The 22,512-nt window shown below is 39.7% G+C and overlaps 1 protein-coding gene across 23 annotated transcripts in view; it reads right to left on the bottom strand.

The window, feature by feature from the left end:
* Positions 1-22,512, bottom strand: part of MASTL (microtubule associated serine/threonine kinase like) — a 33,475-nt gene that overhangs the window by 8,732 nt on the left and 2,231 nt on the right. For 7 of the 23 annotated variants that reach the window (XM_047425916.1, XM_047425919.1, NM_001172303.3 and 4 more), the window contains exons 2-9: positions 20,536-20,673; positions 19,464-19,603; positions 18,040-18,128; positions 14,052-14,158; positions 13,683-13,833; positions 11,948-12,120; positions 8,139-9,278; positions 5,963-6,104 (exon numbers count right to left, since the gene is read on the bottom strand). In XM_047425916.1, the coding sequence (XP_047281872.1) occupies positions 5,963-6,104; positions 8,139-9,278; positions 11,948-12,120; positions 13,683-13,833; positions 14,052-14,158; positions 18,040-18,128; positions 19,464-19,603; positions 20,536-20,673 (2,080 nt within the window). Of the gene's footprint in view, positions 1-1,406; positions 1,422-5,962; positions 6,105-8,138; positions 9,279-11,947; positions 12,121-13,682; positions 13,834-14,051; positions 14,159-18,039; positions 18,129-19,083; positions 19,204-19,463; positions 19,604-20,535; positions 20,674-22,512 lie in introns of those variants that run through there. The other 16 variants (XM_047425917.1, XM_047425920.1, NM_032844.5 and 13 more) reach the window with 7 other exon arrangements.

Below are 22,512 nucleotides of genomic sequence, written 5' to 3'. Positions count from 1 at the left end.
TGGTTTATACTTTAGTTCTATGAACAAAGTGTTTCCTAAGAAAAGGTTAATTTTAGTTCAAAAATGGATAACTTCAATATAAATTAAGAATAGGCATCCTAGTCTAGTGCTAAATTTGCCTGAAAGTTACTCTTTAAAGACAACTTCACAAAATTCTTTACTGTGGTTAAACAACTGCCACCACTGCATTTTAAGACAACTAGGAAAGCATTGTGGAATCTGATTTTAGGAAAAATAGCTGCATGCATTTAGAGTGCCATTTTACCTGCGAGCCATATAATCCCATCTTCCCTTAAAGGAATACAAAATGCAAATATTCTATAGGCTTCTATTTCTATAATACTATAAAAACATACAAACCACCTCAGTTAGTAGGCCTTTCAAGCAGCACTGAGAAAGAATTATCCCAATGGATTAGATAATGTAACCAAATAACAGAAAAGTAGGGGGGAATTAGAAAAAAAAAATTTCCTTATTTTACTTAGGTTAGAAATTAGGCCCCTTTTACCAGCTCAGCCAAAATATACTTGTGTTAAAAAAAAAAAAAATACATGATTTCTCTATGGATATGCCACACATACCCATATACTTAAGTCAAAGTCTAATAAGATCACATAATGGAATAAAACTTTGCAATTATATGTTATTAGCCACAGAAAAAGAACAGATTTGTTTTACATTGCTGGCTTTCTAATTCAAAACTCATTTCTTTAGTTTATAGGGATATGTTGATATTGTTACACTTTTTTATTTTCTAATGATAATAAAATGAAAAGATTTGGAAAATTAGAGCCCTTCTGTAGTTGTCAATTTTTTTTTTTTTTTTGAGATGGAGTCTCGCTCTGTCACCCAGGCTGGAGTGCAGTGGTGTAATCTCAGCTCACTGCAACCTCTGCCACCTGGGTACAAGTGATTCTCCTACCTCAGCCTCCTGAGTAGCTAGGATTACAGGTATAAGCCACCACACCCAGCTAATTTTTATCCTTTTTTTAAGTGGAGACGGGGTTTCGCCATGTTGGGCAGGCTGGTCTCGAACTCCTGACCTCAGGTGACCTGCCTGACTCGGCCTCCCAAAGTGCTGGGATTACAGGCGTGAGCCACAGTGCCCAGCCATTTTTAATATTTGTATCAATACTATTTTTTCTGTTATAATAAAAAAGACTGCGTCTTCACTCTGTGCTACCTTTAAAAGTTGATGAAAAACGCCTCAGGCCTATATTTCTTTTCACAGAGAAGAACCACCTCTCTGGATGTCTTGCTGCTCAGAAAACAGAAGACGGTTCATTTTTGTATTTCACAAGTGAGCTAAAAGGAAAAATAGTTTTTTATGCAATGTGATCTAGTTATACTTTGACTGTTCAGTTTAATGTGCTTTGCCGCATTACTTTATAGAGAAGCTCACTCACCGGAAGTCAGAAATCCTGCATGTAAGAAAACAGTAGTTAGGTACACTGTATTAAAATTATTAGAGTCCCTTCCCTCATCATTCACTGAACTGGGCACCAGGTATTGTGCCAGATATAAAGGATACAAAGACGATTAAGAAAAATCTCTTTTCCCAAAGAGAAACCAGCCTACTCTGGAAGAGACAATACAGACAATTTTAACACACTAAGCTGAAACAAAAAGGTGCACATAAAGTTACGGAAAACTCAGGACAGACTCCCTGGCTCATCTCGGCTGAGAGGCAAGATGGAGGGGCATCAAGAAGGTCATGGCTGGGCCTCAGCATGTTGTCAGCATGTTGTTTAGCTGAGGGAGCTAGATGTCTCACTAAAATAGTGGCAAGATGCTATAAAATACATCTTTATGTTTGAAGCTTACTTTCACACTGTGTCCTAAGTTAGAGATAATGCAAATTATAATACAGAAAATGGGCTAGCAAATCTGTGACAGAGCAAAAGAGGCACTATATAAAAATCAGTGCTCATAGGAATTTACTTGCTTTGGCTAAGCGAGAAAGAGGAACACTAAATATGTCTATTGCCAATATTGTAGAGATTATTAATATCAGTTACTGAGTGCTTCCAAGGAATTCAGGAGTGCTATGCAGAAGGCAGAAAACTCACACTCTTGGCTGGGTGTGGTGGCTCATACCTGTAATCCCAGCACTTTGGGAGGCTGAACACTTTGGGTGGATCACAAGGTCAGGAGTTCAAGACCAGCCTGGCCATGATGGTGAAACCCCGTCTCTACTAAAAATACAAAAATTAGCCGAGCATGGGGGCAGGTGCCTGTAAACCCAGCTAATTGGGAGGCTGAGGCAAACAACTGCTTGAACCCAGGAGGCGGGAGTTGCAGTGAGCCAAGACTGCGCCACTGCACTCCAGTCTGGGCAACAGACTGAGACTGTCTCAAAAAAAAAAAAAAAAGAAAAAAGAAAGAAAACTCACAGTCTCCTCAAAAAGTTTTCTTAAGCTTTTGTAGTGGAGATAAATAAACAATTAGTTACAACACAGGAAGAATGGCATAAATTTTAAACAGTTTCTAATAAGGTAACATAGAAGTGAATAATTCCCAGTAGTTGATCAAGGGATGCTTTATGGAAGAGGTAACATTTGAAATGATGAAATGAGAAGGAATTTGACTGGAAGATACTAGGAAACTGGCTTTGCTCAAATAAGGTTTAATACACAAGCAAAATAGGGAAGACCTGAAAATTAAATGTATTTAAGAAATGGAATGGGAACATAAGGCATATAAAGAGACTCTTTGAGAGACAAGGCTGGTATGAGAGCTATAACCTCAAATGTCGTGATCAATTTGGATTTTACTTAGCAGCTAAGAGGGAGCCACTGTAGTTTTCTGAGAAGGGAAATAGAATAAGCCATGTGATGGTTTTGGAAGAAAAATCCGGTGGCAATGATTATTGATAATAAGATGAAGTTGAAGAGATCAGATAGAAGGGCACTAAAATAATAAAAGAGAAAGATGAGTTCTTAAAGAGAACAGTGGCAGAGAAGAAAATGAGAGGTGAAATGCTGCAGAGATCTAATTGGCTGGATTTAAATGCTTGAATGTAGGAACAAAGATTGTGTCACCATGAAGGTGATGAAACTGAGGTAGGGAACAGAGGAAGAGCTAGCTGGGTAACAAGCCCAGTGTTTTCTTTTTTTTTTTTTTTTGAGATGGAGTCTTGCTCTATCACCCAGGCTGGAGTGCAGTGGCACGATCTTGGCTCACTGCAACCTCCGCCTCCCGGGTTCAAGCGATTCTCCTGTCTCAGCCTCCTGAGTAGCTGGGATTACAGATGCACACCACCACGCCTGGCTAATTTTTGTATTTTTAGTAGAGATGGGGTTTTACCATGTTGGCCAGGCTGGTCTTGAACTCCTGACCTCAAGTGATCTACCCAACTTGGCCTCCCAAAGTGCTGGGATTACAGCCATGTGCCACAGCACCAGGCCCCACAAGTCCAGTTTTGAGACCCAACATTTGAAAGATCAGTAGAATACTGAATAGCCAGATTGGCTGTCTGTCTGCTGCCTAGAGAAAGTCAGGATTAGAGACAGAGATTTGGGAATCATCAACATGGAGGTGACAAACTGACATCATGGGAGTGATGAGATGAACATGGAGCACGTGTAGGGCAAAAAGGGTAAAGGCAGAATCTCCAAGAACTATATTTAGAAGAGGTAAGGAAGGAACTGAAGAGCAGCAACAGAGGTCAGGGGAATGAGAAGAGACAATTGGATTTGACAATAAGGAAATCACTGGTGCCCATTAAGAAGTTTCAGTTAGGCCGGGCGCCATGGCTCACACCTGTAATCCCAGCACTTCAGAAGGCCAAGGCAGGCAGATCACCTGAGGTCGGGAGTTCGAGACCAGCCTGACCAACATGGAGAAACCCTATCTCTACTAAAAATACAAAATTAGCCGGGCATGGTGGCGCATGCCTGTAATCCCAGCTACTCGGGAGGCTGAGGCAGGAGAATATCTTGAACCCGGGAGACGGAGGTTGCAGTGAGCTGAGATCGTGCCACTGCACTCCAGCCTGGGCAACAAGAGCAAAACTCCATCTCTAAATAAATAAATAAATAAATAATAAATAAAAGAATTTTCAGTTAAATAGTGAGATGATAAGTTGCCAGAGCAAAATAATCAAACAAAGAGGAAACCTTTGAGAAGTTAGGCAATGTTGGGGAGACAAGGGTGGAAACTTATTTTCAGGCTGAGGATAAAAGCCGGCAAGGAAATACAAACAGAAGAAAGGGTGTGAGAGGTGGGGTGGGGAGGATGAAACAGATGATCATGAAAAGAGCTCAAAGAAAAGGGAAGTAACTAACATCAACATGTAGAAGAGGTTGATGTTATGGGTTGAACTGTGTCCCTCCCAAAAAAGCTATGTTTAAGTCCTAACCCGTACCTAAAAATGTGACCTTATTTGGAAATGGGTTTTTGCAACTATGATTAATTAGGTTAAGATTAGGTTAAGATGAGGTCATACTGGAGTAAGATGGGCTCCTAATGACTGGTGTCCTTCTCAGAAGCCAGCTCTATGATGATAGAGACACAGGGAGAACACCATCACAGAAAGAGGGAGAACTGGAATGAGGCATCTTCAAGTCAAGGAACACTGAGGATTGCCAGCAAGCCACCAGAAGCCAGGAAGAGGCAAAGAAGGATTTCCCTACAGGTTTCAGGGGTAGTATAGCCCTGTGGACACCTGATTTTGGAACTCTAGCTTCCAGAACTGTGAAACAATGAATTTTTATTGGTTTGAGACACCCAGTTTGTGCTACAGCATCCCTAGGAAGATGAATACAGTTCATTTCAGAATGCAGGAAGGGAACAGTTTTCAGAGAGAAAGGGAAGAAAAGAAGATAGGTGAAAATGTCATCTTTTTATTTTTATTTTTATTTTTTTTTAGACAGAGTCTTGCTCTGTTGCCCAGGCTCGAGTGTAGTGGCACGATCTTGGCTCACTGCAACCTCGGCCTCCCAGGTTCAAGCAATTCTCATGCCCCAGCCTCCCGAATAGCTGGAATTACAGGCATGCACCACCATGCCCAGCTAATTTTTGTGTTTTTAGTAGAGGTGAGGTTTCACCATGTTGGCCAGCTTGGTCTCGAACTCCTGGCCTCAAGTGATCCACCTGCCTTGGCCTCCCGAAGTGCTAGGATTACAGGCGTGAGCCACCGTAACCAGCCCTATCTTTCTATACTTATGTTCTGTTTTGAAGGATGATGGTTCATTTCTGGCTTGACTCTTCTGGTAAGGATATAACTGAGAATAAGTTCTAAACAGGAATAGGCTTCTGAAGACTGAACAGAAATTTAGACCCAACATTGTGGTCCTGAGCCCAAACTCCATCCAACCTGAAGAAACATTAAGAGGTAAGATAGGCCGGGTACGGTGGCTCACGCCTGTAATCCCAGCACTTTGGGAGGCCAAGGTGGGAGGATCACCTGAGGTCAGGAGTTAAAGACCAGTCTGGCTAACATGGTGAAACTGTCTCTACTAAAAATACAAAAATTAGGCGGGCATGATGGTGGATGCCTGTAATCCCAGCTACTCAGGAGGCTGAGGCCAGAGAATCACTTGAACCTGGGAGGCAGAGATTGCAGTGAGCCGAGATTGCACCATTGCACTCCAGCCTGGGTGACAAAAGAGAAACTCTGTCTCAAAAAATAAAAATAAAAATAAATAAAAAAATAAAAAAAGAGATAAGATAATATCAAGGGTGGCAGGTGGGGCTTCTCTGGAACATTGAGACTGAACCAGAAGGCAAAGGACAAATGACTACATGTACTCCAGCATCTGGTCTTTTACATTCAGAGAGTGGGACAGCCATGGCTACTGCTAGTTTATTTTCCTATGACAAATGCCATATATATACTAGATGAGTTCATTTTCTTTTACTTTAGGTAACGTAAGTACTGAAGAAATTTTTTAAAATTTAACCTTGAAAGATAATGTAGTGATAGATAACACTTCAAAAACTCAAGACATGCATGCCTTACCATGGGCCCTGCCTAGTAACAGCTCAGGTGCAAGGTAGTCTGGGGTTCCTAGAATTCGCCCATCATCAACGGGGGCCACCCCTCTTCTCACACTCTTCGGAGTTCGGTATGGAGTTCCCGACTTGATCTGATTTGGGGTCTGCTAATTCAAAAAGGGTTTAAGAGATAACAAATATCTTAATTCCTTTTACACCGAATAGAAAATGGTGAAACACACAAGCCAAATAACTAGCTCATAGGCTACTAGGCGTAAAGGATGTAGTCAAATTTTTGATAAGTTTTGAAAATGAATGCATAATTAGTTATAATTATGAAAAAGTCCTTTTATCTGGTGAAGTTCAAAAGCTTAGACAACACTGATTATTCCAATAAGATCTAGATAAGAAACAATAAAAAAAATCTGCAAGAAAAATGTTCAGTGAAAAAATCTGCAAGAAGACTGATAGCATGGACTAATACAAGCTTAAGAAGAGCCACTGAGGAAGGCTATGGCTAACAAATGATTAAGACAACACGTAAGACAGAACTACATATAACCTATTGTACTAAATAGCATTTAAAAATTTTTAGGATAATTTGTTATTTCACAACAAGTTTTTTTTTTTGAGATGGAGTTTCGCTCTTGTTGCCCAGGCTGGAGTGCAGTGGTGCGATCTCGGCTCACCACAACCTCCGCCTCCCAGGTTCAAGGAATTTTCCTGCCTCAGCCTCCCAAGTAGCTGGGATTACAGGCATACACCACCATGCCTGGCTAATTTTGTATTTTTAGTAGAGACGGGGTTTCTCCATGTTGGTCAGGCTGGTCTCGATCTCCCGACCTCAGGTGATCCTCCCACCTTGGCCTCCCAAAGATGGTGTGAGCCACCACGCCTGGCATTCACAACAACTTTGTAAGACCAGCAAGACAGGTGCCATTATCCCTTACAGACATTTAGAAAAATTGCAGGTCTGAGGTTAAGGGACTTCTAAGTCATTTAATAGTAAGTCTTGGGTAGAAAACTCAAGTTTCGAAACATAAATTCAGGGGTTACACATTTTATGTTATGATGTTTTCCCAAAGGAAGAAAAAAAGTAAAACTTTGGGTTGGTAAAGGTTTAGAATATAGAGAGTAAGCTTTGAAATATATATTTTTCGCTGGGCATGGTGGCTCATGCCCGTAATCCCAGCACTTTGGGAGGCCAAGGCAGGCAGATCACAAGGTCAAGAGATCGAGACCATCCTGGCCAACGTGGTGAAACCCCATCTCTACTAAAAATACAAAAATTAGCTGGGCATGGTGGCACATGCCTGTAGTCCTAGCTACTCAGGAGGCTGAAGCAGGAGAATCGCTTGAACCCGGGAGGCGGAGGTTGCAGTGAGCCAAGATCGCGCCACTGCACTCCAGCCTGGTGACAGAGCGAGACTTTGTCTCAAAAAAAAAAAAAAAAAAAAAAGAAACATATTTTTCAACTTTTATTCTCTTAAGAAGAGATCATCTAAATATGTCCTTGGAAGGCAGTAAGGTAGAGCGGACTTAAATTATCTCTGGCCAGGTGAGGTGGCTCACACCTGTAATCCTAGCACTTTGAGAGGCCGAGGTGGGCGGATTGCTTGAGGTCACGAGTTTGAGATCAGCCTGGGCAACATGGTGAAATTCCGACTCTACTAAAAATACAAAAATTAGCCAGGTGTGGTGGTGGGCCCCTTATAATCCCAGCTACTTGGGAGGCTGAGGCAGGAGAATCGCTTGAACCTGGGGGTGAAGTGTGCAATGAGCCAAGATCACACTACTGCACTCCAGCCTGGGCAAAAGAACGAGACTGTCTCAATAATAATAATAATAATAATAATAATAATAATAATAATAATTTTGTAACTCATAGTACTGTGGGGATCAAGTGAAAATTAATTTTGTAACTCATAGTACTGTGGGGATCAAGTGAAAATATGTGATTGTATTTTCTTAGGAAAGTACATAAAACGACACAAATGGAAGGAGGCATTACAGCTAAAAATAATAAACATGATTTCTACCAGCTTTACTTTTCTGGGTGAAAACTTCCAACAGCCCACAGATTCTCAACAAGAAGAACAGAACTATATGATTAATACCGCATAGTCTAGCTTAGAGGCAAATGTCTGTCTTCATAGTTTTTCTAAAATCCAAAAAACAGTATTAGAAAGTTATAAATATACCTGATGTGGCATACAGGATCTTCTTTTTTGAGTAGGGGTTATAGCCATGGGATATGAACCACTGTAGGCACACGAAATATCCATTGCATCTAAAGAAGTCATGTTCATTCTGGATGGTTCTGAGTTATTGGATGCATTAATATGACTGTTAAAACTTCGAAAAGCAACAGCATTTCTTTTAGAGGCTAACGTTTTCAGCACCTCCAAAGGAGGACCTAACATTTTTTGGTTACTCTCTTGTACAGCAGGGTTCTCGACACCTTTTGGTGAGGTCTTTTCTTGGCAATCTGGTGTTACAATAAGTGGATCTTCAATATTTGATTCTTCAAAAGAGGATTCTTTGATGCTTCTATCTGAATCTAAGGGCTGACTTTCTAATGGACTTTCCATTATAGAAATTCCAGGAAAAGATGAATCAGAGTTCATAGAAATATTTTTAGAAGCTCTATCATCATCAGAACATAGAAAACTAGAACTTAAGTAGTCCCTCTTACTATTCTTTTCACAGTCTTCATCGAGTTCACACATAAGGTTTTTTGCTATCATTGGTATAGGTAATTTTTCTGGTGTTTGTTGTTTATCAGTAAAAGAATTGACAATGTTCTCCTTATTAGCACAGTCATTTTGTTGACTTTTGTGCACTGATAGCTTAAGGTCCTGCACTTCAACTGTTAAGCCTGTATTTTGATTTGTATAACAATTTGTCATTTCGTTATGCTTATACTCTACACAAGTTTTTTTATTCTGTATAATTTTTTTACAAGGACTGGAGTCAACCAACTCAAAATTTCTTTTTAAACTTCTTTTCCCAAGGTGCTCTTCAGATATCCCACCAGAATCCACAGCCCACTGATTTGACTGATGGAAACCTAACTGACTTGTGTCAGTGTCCATATTTATATTATTTACATCCAGTTCTACTGCTTCCCAAGAAACTTCCCCAGAGAAGCATTTTTTAGCAAGGTTTACACAAGAGCGTCCAGTGGTGGGAAGGGCACTGCTGTTATGAATGGGAGAAAGAGCTAACTCCAGATCCTTTTTATTGAAACCTTTCGTCTCAATGGCATTTGCAGATTTTGCGCATAACTTTTCAACTGCATTCCAACTCATCATTGTTGGGCCCAATGCTTCATCACTTTCCTAAGAGGGAAAAAAATATTTGTTTTAGTTATATAAAGCTGAGATTCATTGACCTTTTAACTATGGTCCGTTAAGGTAGGATAAATGACCCCATAAACTATTATGCTACCTGTTGCCACTTTCAAATGGAAAAAATAAACAACAGAGAATTAAAAAGCAATGTAAGCAATTATAAGCTTATATACATTATTCTGAATGAAACGGTCTAAACTTTAAATAAATTATTCTATAATACTTATTTTGATTGTATATCACAGGCTACTTAAACAGGACAAATTAACAGGCAACATATTCAGGCACATTTTGGGGTAAGGCTGCATTACGTACATATCTATTTTGCAATAGGTATATGGATGATTCTGTTTTTTTTTTTTTTGAAATGGGGTCTTGCTGTCGTCCAGGCTGAAGTGCAGTGGTGCGATCTCAGCTCACTGCAGCCTCTGCCTCCTGGGTTCAAGCAATTCTCCCACCTCAGCCTCCCAAGTAGCTGGGATTACAGGGGCACACCACCACACCTGGCTAATTTTTGCATAATTTTTTTTAAGTGGAGATGGGGTTTCACTATGTTGGCCAGGCTAGTCTCAAATTCCTGACCTCAGGTGATCCACCTGCCTAGGCCTCCCAAAGTGCTGGGATTACAGGTGTAAGCTACCACACCTGGCCTGGATGATTCTGTTTTGAACTGCAAAATGCACAGGGCTTGAAATTTAGTCAATGAAAAATTATAGACCTAAAATATTGTCAGTGTAAATATATATCACTTCATATAAGTATTAAAAAACCAAGCTGATAAGGATGAAATGACATTAATGGTAATTAATAATTACAAACCCCAAAGAGCAGAAATTAAAGTCCATTGTCAACAAGATGAACTGATAATGCATTAATAATGATTTTTTTTTCTGAATTCCAACTATCTGTGGGTATTTGTGGGTACTCAGCTTTGTATATAATATTGCAAATTGGTGCTTGGTGATCAAGATTTTTACAAGATTAGTCAAGTAGAGTGAGTCTTCAGTAAACTCTAATAGTGCTTATTTTTGATGTGTAAATGAATAGTAAACTTTATTAACTATCATTAACTTAGTAATAATAATGAGCATTTAGTCTCAAGCAAAAAGGATATTTTTTTTTGAAGATGGAGTTTTGCTCGTTGCCCAGTCTGGAGGCATGATGTCCGCTCACTGCAACCTCTGCCTCCCGGGTTCAAGCAATTCTCCTGCCTCAGCCTCCTGAGTAGCTGGGATTACAGGCGCCCACCACCACGCCCAGTTAATTTTTGTATTTTTAGTAGAGACGGGGTTTTGCCATGTTGGCCAGGCTGGTCTCAAACTCCTGACCTCAGGTGATCTACCCACTTTAGCCTCTCAAAGTGCTGGGATTACAGGCGTGAGCCACCGCGCCTGGCCTAAAAAAGGATATTCTTGAATTATATCTCACTGATCTGTAAGCACAGAAAATGATGCATGTGGGGATCAGTGTAAGGTTTTTCAGAGGGTGCCTTATCATTCCTCTGATCATAACTTGAGAAGCACCACTATAATCCCATCGGTGCATCCCTCAGGGATGCAGAAGTGGGAGGATAGTAAAGCTGTGTATAATTTGAAATAGTAAACAATATGTTTTCTTCAATAGGAAAGGAGTGCAGTAATAGTACTGGGAATGGAAATCTGTTTATCTTGCAGCATATAGTACCTTTACTTTATAAAGACAGAAGGAAAAAAGATTAAGAAACTCTGCCTTAGTTAAACGTTAATTTGATCTTGCTTATAGAATACAAATATCCAATAATAATAAAATTCTATTGCTGAGAATAAGCAGCAAATAGAATCAAAATTATTTTAGCAAATAAAAGGTTTATTCTTTGGATATTAGTGTTATCCTAATCTATCATTATTTTATCAGCCTTCTATGAAGGAAACCTTATTATGATTTTAAATTTTAGTTCCTACCACCTTTAGTATCTCTTAGCTCTAATAACTGTTTAAAAAGGCAAAAACAATATGTAAGTTAAGTAAAGTGACTTTAAGTAAATCCATTCATTTGGCAAGCAATATCCTCAGAACAGACACTTTAAGGGCTTAGCTCTAATAACTGTTTAAAAAGGCAAAAACAATATGTAAGTTAAGTAAAGTGACTTTAAGTAAGTCCATTCATTTGGCAAGCAATATCCTCAGAACAGACACTTTAAGGGCACACCCACGTTACCTTTCCGGTCTAAAAGTTATTTCTGATCCAGAAGAGTTACCATTCCATTAAACAAGAAACTGACAGGAAACAGTATAGAAGGAGGTAATATGAGTTTTTAAATGACATAGGTTAAAAACAAAATAAAACAAAACCAACAAGCCAATGTCTGTATCATGGGAAGGACTTCTAAAAACAAGTGAGGTCCACCTAGATACACAGAAGCCAAGCATTTATTATCAATTTACTGCAAGAATCTCATTATATAATCAAGTAAGAACAATGTCACAATTGAATGAGAAATGAAATATTTCAAAAGAATTTGACAGAATGTGCAGGAAAATGAATTTCTGATTAATACTATGACTGCCATTCATGTAACAATTTCATTTCTTTATGGAATTTATATGAAAAGGTATAATATTTCTCACATTCATTTGACATACATAATTGATTTTCATTAAGATAAATGTCCCTCAAACCTGGCAATCTTTTTCCCATTTGGGACTGCTGTGGCATTCTGATTCCACACTGGATATGAAGGTGTGGGATTGACTACTGGCACTGGATGTGGCCAGCCTTTTCCTAGACTGGAGTAAATTAGAAGTTAGACACTTCACAGGCATTCCTGGGTTGGAGGCAACTGTTTCAAGACCTATAGAGAAGAGACAATATTGAATTCCATGTTACAGCTTTCTTAGTTCCTTACTGAACCTGAATCTTTACATATAATTAAGCAAAGTATCAAGAATTACATATTAATATGTATTAAGAATTACATATCAGAACTATTTCTTTGTAAACACTATCTAGTCCACAAGAACAGCTGGCATGCTTCCCATTATGTTTAGATACATATACTATTAATATATCTAAACATATCCCACTATGTTTAGACACAAGTACTGCTATGAAAGTTAGAACCGAACAAAATCCCCTTAACGTTCATTCAGTAAAGAATAAGAACAAGGGAATGGTCGATTGATTGACTAATTCATGGCAGGATCTCCCTCTGTCATCCAGGCTAGAGTGCAGTGGTATGATTACTCTCACTGCAGCCTTGACCTCCTGGGCTCAAGCGATACTCTCATCTCAGCCTCCTGAGTCGTGAGGACCACCAAATCTGGCTAATGCTTTTAATTTTTTCTAGAGATGGGGGTCTCACTATATTGCCCAGGCTGGTCTCAAACTCCTGGGTTCAAGTGATCCTCTCGCCTCAGCCTCCCAAAGTGCTGTACTTACAGGTATGAACCACCAAATTAATGTATAACTAGGAGCAAATCAATTTGGAATAGCTATCATCCAATTTGAACCCATTCCTGACAAAGGAACATTATTGATGTGGTATATCCAGACGTGCTATAAGGTTAGAATATGACTACATTTACTCAATTCAACTTGTATTTAATTTAACACTTGTATTTAATTCAACTTGTATTTATTAACACTGAGGTTTATGCGCTTACAAATGTCAATTATACACACTTACAAGGGATTTTTAAAAAATACTACTGGATAAAGCAAATAAATAATGGTAAATTGCTTGCTTGTTTTGAGACAGTCTCACTGTCACCCAGGCTGGAGTACAGTGGTATGATCTCAGCTCACTGCAGTCTCCGCCTCCTGTGTTCAAGCGATTCTCCTGCCTCAACCTCCTGAGTAGCTGGGATTACAGGTGCCCACCACCACGACCAGCTAATTTTTGTATTTTTAGTAAAGACAGGGTTTTACCATGTTGGCCAGGCTGGTCTCGAACTCCTGACCTTAAGGGATCCGCCCGCCTCGGCTGCCCAAACTGCTGGGTGTCATGTTGGTACTCAAAATGTTTTGAATTTTGGGGCATTTTTTGTTTTTTTGAGGAAGGGTCTCACTCTGTCACCAAGGCTGGAGTGCAATGGCGCTATTAAGGCTCACTGCAGCCTCAACCTCCTGGGCTCAAGCGATCCTCCTGCCTCAGCCTCCAATGTAGCTGGGACCACAAGTGTGCACCAACATGCCCAGCTAATTTTTGTAGAGATGAAGTCTCACTTTGTTGCCCAGGCTGGTCTTGAACTCCTGGGTTGCAGTGAGCCGCCGAGATCGCGCCATTGCACTCCAGCCTGGATGACAGAGTAAGACTCCGTCTCAAAAAGAAAGAAATCCTGCCTCAGCCTCCCAATGTGGTAGTATTACAGGTGTAAGCCTCTGCGCCTGGCCTACCTTTTCTTTTATACTCACATGATTTTAGTAATTTGCTAGAATAAGGCGTAGTGTCCTTTTGATCTACAGACATAGGGCATACGAGTCCTTGAGAAAGCTGTGATGTTTCAGACAGACAGGCTGAAAGGATGTTTGCAGGGTCTTGATTTTTTTCTGCAATTGGTGTGTTCTATTAAAAAGAGAAAAATAAAAACAACAGGTTTACCTTCCCCAAAACACCACCTAAGTACATAGACTGTTATACCACCTAAGTAGACAAACTGTTAAAGTAAATCCAAATGCTTGATATTTAAATCTATTTTGATCTTTTTTTTTAAAGGTGATTTTAAATTTTAAGTGGTGATCATGAAGGGGTATGTCATGTTAATTTTCTTCTCAAGTACTTACAAATCCCAACGAGCTGATAAGCGATAACACTTGTCCTGGGGTTCTTGAATAATCTTGTCTAGGTTTTGCCATTGATGGTGTTGTAAGGATATCCATCATATTAATATCTATGTATGCAAAGAAAAGTATATAAATGTATTTAAAACCTTTACCTCCCATTGACTAAAAATGAATGTTATGTATATGACAACAAAACAATTTTTTGTAAACCAAATGTTAAAAAAGGAGACAGTGGCTGGGCACGGTGGCTCACACCTATAATGCCAGCACCTTGGGAGGCTGAGGCAGATGGATCACTTGAGGTCAGGAGTTCGAGACCAGCCTGGCCAACATGGTGAAACACTGTCTCTACTAAAAATACAAAAAGTAGCTGGTCTTGGTGGTGGGCGCCTGTAATCTCAGGTACTCGGGAGGCTGAGGCAGGAGAATCACTTGAACACGGGAGGCGGAGGTTGCAGTGAGCCGAGATCGCGCTACTGCACTCCGACCAGGGCGACAGAGCAAAACTCTATCTCAAAAACTAAATAAATAAATAAGGAGATGGTATGGAATCAATATTAATTTTAGGCCCCTCACGTTAGCTAATATGTTTAAGCCTAGGTCAAGATAGAAACTGACCCAGATTATTAGCATGTTTCAGTGCATAATATTTTAAAATAATTCAACACTGACACATAATACTATACTATTCCACTTAGATATAAAAAATGGTAAGAGAAGTCTAATGTTCTTATCCAGGCATGGTGGCTCACATCTGTAATCCTAGCACTTTGGGAAGCCAAATGGAGAGGATCCCATGAGCCCAGGAGTTTGAAACCAGCTTGGGCAACATAGTGAGACCTATCTCTACAATTTAAAAACTAGCTGGGCATTGTGGCAAGCACCTGTAGTCCCAGCTACTGGGGAGGCTGAGGTGGGAGAATTGCTTTTCCCAGGAGTTCAAGGCTACAGTAAGCTATGATCACATCACTGCACTCCAGCCTGGGTAATACAGTGAGACCCTGTCTCTTAAACAAACAAAAATAATCCCAGAACTCTAATGTTCTTATAGGACTTTTTAAAATTAGCTGGGTGTGGTGGCTCATGCCTCTAGTCCCAGCTACTCGGAAGGCTGAGGGACAAGAATCGCTTGAGCCTGGGAGGCAGAGGTTGTAGTGAGCCTAGATCATGCCACTGTACTCTGTACTCCAGCCTGGGTGACAGAGCAAGACTCTCTCTCAAAATAAATAAATGAATGAATAGGCTGGGCGCGGTGGTTCACGCCTGTAATCCCAACACTTTGGGAGTCCAGGGCGGGTGGATCACGAGGTCAGGAGATCAAGACCATCCTGGCTAACATGGTGAAACCTCATCTCTACTAAAAATACAAAAAATTAGCCGGGCGTGGTGGTGGGTGCCTGTAGTCCCAGCTACTCAGGAGACTGAGGCAGGAGAATGGCGTGAACCCAGGAGGTAGAGCTTGCAGTGAACTTAGATTGTGCCCCTGCACTCCAGCACTCCAGCCCGGGCAACAAAGCGAGACTCTGTCTCAAAGAAAAAAAAAAAAAACAAATAAGTAAATAAATGAAAGTATACTGAAAGTTTTAACAACAAATGTCATTTATGCCTCACATTGATGAAGTGATAATAATAATACACGTATATGATATTTTACAAAAAAAGTTTTATTAAAATTAGACCCTTATGATAAACAAAGTGACTTAAATTTATCAACAATTTTATCTTAATGCAAAATTTTTGTCATTTGTGATATTTTCCAATAGCTTATCTGAAATCCTTAGAATCAGATTTCGAAATAAGATTTCAAAGTCAGATTTCTTTGAAATCACAATTCAAAAATGTTTAGATTTTAGAAAAGTAATGTGGTAAATATACTGCATATTATGAAATATCCCTAGTGGCAAATCATATGAATAATCACATGAACTGGAATCAACAGACTATAAATACCCCTGGCCAGGCACGGTGGCTCATGCCTGTAATCCTAGCACTTTGGGAGGCCGAGGCGGGTGAACCACCTGAGGTCAGGAGCTCGAGACCAGCCTGGCCAACATGGTGAAACTGTGTCTCTACTAAAAATACAAAAATTAGCTGGGCGTGGTGGCGGGCACCTATAATCCCAGCTACTCAGAAGGCTGAGGCAGGAGAATTGCTTGAACCCGGGAGGTGGATGTTGTAGTGAGCCGAGATCACGCCATTGCACTCCAGCCTGGGCAACAGAGCAAAAACCCCATCCCAAAACAAACAAACAAACAAAAGACTATAAATACCCCTACATCAGCATAGATCAGATTTTACCAAACTTAGTAAAAAGTTTTAGGTATTCATAACTGTTGAACTTTGTACTTCCACATGAAGAATTGTAGATCTGCATATATTTTCAAATATTAATAGTTATAATTCCAGAGTTTTTAAGTCCAATTTCTGGTTATTTTCATTATTAATACTTTCCCATCCGTCTACACTTTCTAATAGAGAATACAATATGTTTCTTTTTTTTTCGAGATGGAGTATCGCTCTGTCCCCCAGGCTAGAGTGCAGTGTCGTGATCTTGGCTCACTGCAACCTCTGCCTCCCAGGTTTAAGCAATTCTCCTGCCTCAGCCTACTAAGTAGCTGGGACTACAGGCGTGTGCCACCACACTCAGCTAATTTTTGTATTTTTAGTAGAGATGGGGTTTCATCAGGTTGGCCAGGCTAGTCTAGAACTCCTGACCTCAACCTCAAGTGATCTACCCGCCTCGGCCTCCCAGAGTGCTGGGATTACAGGCATGAGCCACGGCACCCGGCCAAGAATACAATATGTTTCTAAGTTGATAATCAATCATTTATCCATGTTTCTATGATGAACTTAAGTAATTTCTAGTTTCTCCCTATTAGAAACAATGTTGCTACAAGTGATTTCATTTATGTGTATTTTGTTCATTTGAACAATTTCCTTAGAATAAATTCCAAAGCATAAGCCACTAGATCAAAGAGAATTAAAAACTTTTATATTTAAAAACATATTGGCAGATTTCCTCCAGAAAGCACTATGCTAATTTACAATGCCCCCAGAAAAATATTAGTGTGCTTTTTTGGTAGTATTACTAACTGGACCATCGGTATTCCTTTCTTTTGCCCATTTAATAGTGTAAGATGGTTCATTTACTCTTTCTTATATTAGCATTTATTTAATTACTACTAGTGAAAAGAACACAGTCCCATATATACATATATGTGTTAACTGTGTATTCATTTTCTTTGTCCTTTTGTTGATCAAGGTCTTAGTGGTGGCCGTGTATATTTGAATATGTTTTCAGTTATTAACCCTTCATCATGTTATAGTTATTCTGGTCATTTTACTGATGCTTAATTGGTAAGAATCAATTTCACTTGGGATAAAAGTCAGAAAAACAGAAATTGTGAGTTCCTCTGTGAAGATCAAAGGACCTTCAAGGACCTCTGAATAGCCAAGAATAATCACTCCTATTTTTCATCTTCAGTGGAAAAAAGAACCCGTTATACCTTTCTAGCCTATTCTGGGATAAATAACAAATTTTATTTAGTGTAAACTAACAAAGAAAACAGTGGAAGTTAATGAAATGTAGTCTCTATAATTTGTTAGACTTTTCATTTTTTTTAATTTTTTATATTTATTTTTAGTTGGACTTTTTTTTTTTTGAGAGAGATTTTCACTTTGTTTCCCAGTCTGGAGTGCAATGGCGGGATCTCAGCTCACTGCAACCTCCATCTCCTGGGTTCAAGTGATTCTCCCTGCCTCAGCCTCCTTAGTAGCTGGGATTACAGGCGCATGCCACCACGCCCAGCTAATTTTTGTATTTTTAGTAGAGATGGGGTTTTGCCACGTTAGCTAGGCTGGTCTCTAACTCCTGACCTCAGGTGATCTGCCCGCCTTGGCCTCCCAAAGTGCTGGGATTACAGGTGTGAGCCACCACGCCTGGCCTGTTGGATGTTTTAAAAAAGTACTTACTTGATATTTTTCTTACCTCTATTCAAAGTAACTTTTGAAAGGCCAAAATCCGTCAGTTTAATATGACCCTCATTAGAAATAAGCATATTGTCCGGTTTCAAGTCCCTGCACACACAAAAGGCAAATATTAGATAACCAAAAAAGGGCTAGTTTTAATGTTAGAATTTCCAGAAAAAAAGAGTTACAAAGGAGGCAAACCCTATTTATTTCCTCCAAAATAAAGATACTCATTGATGGCTTTGAAAAGTACAGAAAACATCTCTCAAAAGCAAAACATCTTTCGTACTGTTTATCAGAATCTACAAAAAAGATAAATTAATACTAGATTATCTTTGGTATCATTGGTTAGATATTCCATTAAAATAAAGAAACCTTATTAGATAAAATCAACCTCAAGCCAGTTCAAATTTACATTTACTTTCTTTTTTTTCTTTTCTTTTTTTTTTTGAGATGGAGTTTCACTCTTGTCACCCAGGCTGGAGTGCAATGGCACAATCTCGGCTCACTGCAACCTCCGCCTTCCGGGTTCAAGCAGTTCTCCTGTCTCAGCCTCCCGAGTAGCTGGGATTACAGGCACCCACCACCACACTCGGCTAATTTTTGTATTTTTAGCAGAGACAGGGTTTCACCATGTTGTCCACTCTGGTCTCAAACTCCCGACCTCAGGTGATCCGCCCGCCTCAGCCTCCCAAAGTGCTGGAATTATAGGTATGAGCCACCACACCTGGCCTACATTTACCTTCTTAAAGGAAGGTAAGATTGAGATTTAATAAGTCACTTAATCTGACTTTCTTTGCATAGAGAAAAACATTGTAAATCAGTTGGACTACAAAATATACCACTTTTGTATAATGCAGAGGAGCGGAAAGGATTCAATACTCTTCACATAAAATGCCATACTTAATGGGCCGTGGTAGCTCATGCCTGTAATCGTAGCATTTTGGGAGGCTGAGGTGGGAGGATCCCTTGGGCCCAGGAGTTAAAGAGCAGCCTGGGAACCTTGTCTCTACAAAAAAAAAAAAAAAAAAAAAAAAAAAAAGCCAAGAGTAATGGCACACACCTCTACTCCCAGACACTTGGGAGGCTAAGGCAGGGGGATTGCTTGAGCCCCAGAGGTCGAGGCTGCAGTGAGCCAAGGTCAAGTCACTGCACTGCACAACCTGGATGACAAAGTGAGACCCTGTCTCAACAAAGAAAAAAATAAATAAATATGTAAATACAAAAATAAATAAATACATGCTATACTCATGTTCAAAGCAATATATTTTAAAAAACACAGGGAGATGAAAGAAGAGTTAATTTCTAAATGAATACAAGTTACTAGTAAACTTTAGATAACCTGGAAATAAGTGCAAGTGGTTACTGTGAATATCTGAGACTCAAATATGTAATTTGATTACTTGAATTTTTAAGTAATAATTTGGAGAAGTCAGTCTTTACCTGTGGATGATTCCATGTCTGTGAAGGTAGTCTAGAGCCAGTGCTACTTCAGAAATATATTTCACAGCCATCTCTTCATCAAAATAACCATATATATGTAGGAGAGACTTGACATCTCCCCCAATAAGATATTCCATTACCTTTCAAAAAAGAATTTAATATTGTGAAATAAAAACAATATGATTACTTTAAAAATCTAGTATTTGGGCATTACAGTTACAATATTTGGCATGGCTCTGTAATGAAACGACCTTTTCTTGCTATTACTCGTAATACATTAATACTAGGTTTATTCATGTTGCCATAACAGTTTTTAATTAAAAATTAAACTGTTTAGGCTGGGCACAGTGACTCACGCCTATAATCTCAGCACTTTGGGAGGCCAAGATGGGCAGATCACTTGAGGCCAGGAGTTCGAGACTAGCCTGGCCAACATAGCAAAACCCCGTCCCTACTAAAATTACAAAAAATTAGCTGGGCCTGGTGGCAGCTAATTTATACAAAAAATTAGCTGGGCCTGTAATCTCAGCTACTTGGGAGGTTGAGGCACAAGAATTGCTTGAACCCAGGAGGTGCAGAGTGGCCAAGATTGCACCACTGCAGTCTAGCCTGGGCAACAGAGGGAGACTCTATCTCAGGCTGGGGTGCAATTATGTGCAATGGTATCTCTATTAGCTAGCTGCATACCACCATGCCCAGCTAATTTTTACTTTAATTTTTTTGTAGAGATGGAGTCTCCTTATGTTCCCCAAGTTGGTCTTGAACTCTTGGCCTCAAGTGATCTTTCTGTCTCAGCCTCTCGAAGTGCTTGAATTACAGGTGTGAGCCATGGCCCCTTGGCCTGTCTCTCTATGTACATATACATACACATACACACGCACCGTATGCATATATCTTATTGGTTCTTTTTCTTTGGAGAACTCTAACTAATATAACAGGTAAATTTGCCAAGGCAGTGAGTGCAGCCAGAATTCAAATGCAAGCACTCTGAACCAAAACATGGTTCTCTTAAATCACTAGGTTCAATGACTGCTTAATGGATAAAGAAACAACATAAAAATTATTTACTCACCAAGTAGACATTGTTTGCAGACTGCAGTGAATAATACAAATGGACAATGAATGGGCTTTTGCTTAGTGCCAGTGCATCTCTCTCAGCTTGGACCTGATGAGTCATATTTTTGTTGATCATGTCTGCTTTTTTAACAACCTGTAATAGATAAAATAAAAGTGATATCATGTTATTTTATTTTGAGACAGAGTCTCATTCTCTTGCCCAGGCTGAGTGCAGTGGCATGATCAAAGCTTATTGCAGCCTTGATTTCCTAGGCTCAAGTTATCCTCCCACCTCAGCCTCCCAAGTAGCTGGGACTACTGGCACACATGACTACATCTGGCTACTTTTTAATTTTGTTGTAGAGACAAGGTCTCACTACGTTGCCCAGGCTGGCCCAAAATGAGCCTCAAGCAATACCCCTGTCAAAGTGCTGGGATTACACGTGGAAGCCACAGCTCCCTGCCTTGTTTTTAAATTACAGAGTGATCTCAGGTTTCAAAGTTGCCATCATGAAAACGCTAACAGAGAGAACACATATAGATGTCATGTGGACCTTACACTGCTATCAGGAAAGCACGTACAAAAAATAGTTAAGACGGTTTAAAAAAATCTTCAAGATAGAATTGCTTATCTTGGTATTAAATGGCAGAAGTATCATAATCTCTTTCAAGAAGGAAAAAAAATTAAATATTCCCAGACTGCCCTGCATATTAATAGAAAAAAAATTCTGTTCCACTGTTCTGATAACGAAGTCAAAAGACAGTTACATTCCTCATAAGCCCACAGATAACTAGCACCTGGGCGTGGAGTAACTACTTAATTTTTTTTTTTAACTTCTGATTTTTTGATAGATGGGGATAGAATCAGAAAGAGGAAGAATGTCGGAAGTTTGCCTAGAAAAAAAAAATCTTAAGTTGGAATGATTAGAACTACTGAAATTTAACAGTCCCAAATGCTGTCTTACAGAAAACTAATTACTCTTTTCAAGTTTCAAGGTAATCTGTACAGAAACAGAACTATTAAAGTTGGAGCACTAAGAAAAATTAAAAATACATAAATAAATAAATAAAAATAAAGTTGGAGCACTAAACTGAATAGTCAGTAACACTGGGATCAATTCTCAGGACTGCTATAAGAAAAAAAGGCATATTTCTTTCAAAGATTTATTCGAGTACTTAATAAAATCATTAGTACATGATAAATTCCTGCCTTAACTCCTTTCTTTAAGAAAACTGAGGGAAACTGACAAAGCAAGCTGGTAACATGATTTTTCCTATCATTCCACTGGCTATGAGGGCATGTGTGTTTTGTTCCCCATTGTTGTCCAGTTCGTAGACACAAAGAGGGTGGGTGCTAAGCAAATACTGACTGAACACATGGATTGGTGTTTTCATTTCAACTGATCATGACTAAGTACTGTAGAAGGAAAAGTAAAAATCTCAGGAACATATAAAGTAACCAATTCAATCAGATCTTCCAATTCTGAAAGATTAGGGAAGGTGTGAAGGGGAGCTAAGATGAATCTTAATACATGAATAAGACAGGTGGAGAAGAGCACAAAAGGGTAGAAGAAAAGCACTTAAAAAGGAACCAGCATAAGGCCAGGCACGGTGGCTCACCCCTGTAATCCCAGCACTTTGGGAGGCTGAGGCGGGCAGATCACCTGAGCTCAGGAGTTTGAGACCAGCCTGCCCAAAATGGTGAAACCCCGTCTCTACTAAAAATACAAAAAATTAGCCCGGTGTGGTGGCGGGAATCCCAACTACTCGGGAGGCTGAGGCAGGAGACTCGCTTGAACCCGGGAAGTGGAGGTTGCAGTGAGCTGAGATCACGTCACTGTGAAACTCTATCTCAAAAAAAAAAAAAAAAAAATTCATAGCAGGGCAGGGCGCGGTGGCTCACACCTGTAATCCCAGCACTCTGGGAGGCCGATGTGGGCGGGTCACCTGAGGTCAGGAGCTCCAGACCAGCCTGGCCAACATAACCAAAACA

The sequence above is a fragment of the Homo sapiens genome, chromosome 10 (genome assembly GCF_000001405.40).
Source record: "Homo sapiens chromosome 10, GRCh38.p14 Primary Assembly".
In the NCBI taxonomy this organism is placed as follows: domain Eukaryota; kingdom Metazoa; phylum Chordata; class Mammalia; order Primates; family Hominidae; genus Homo; species Homo sapiens.
The sequence above is the reverse complement of the archived record's forward strand: the minus strand, read 5'-3'. Positions and strand labels throughout refer to the sequence as shown.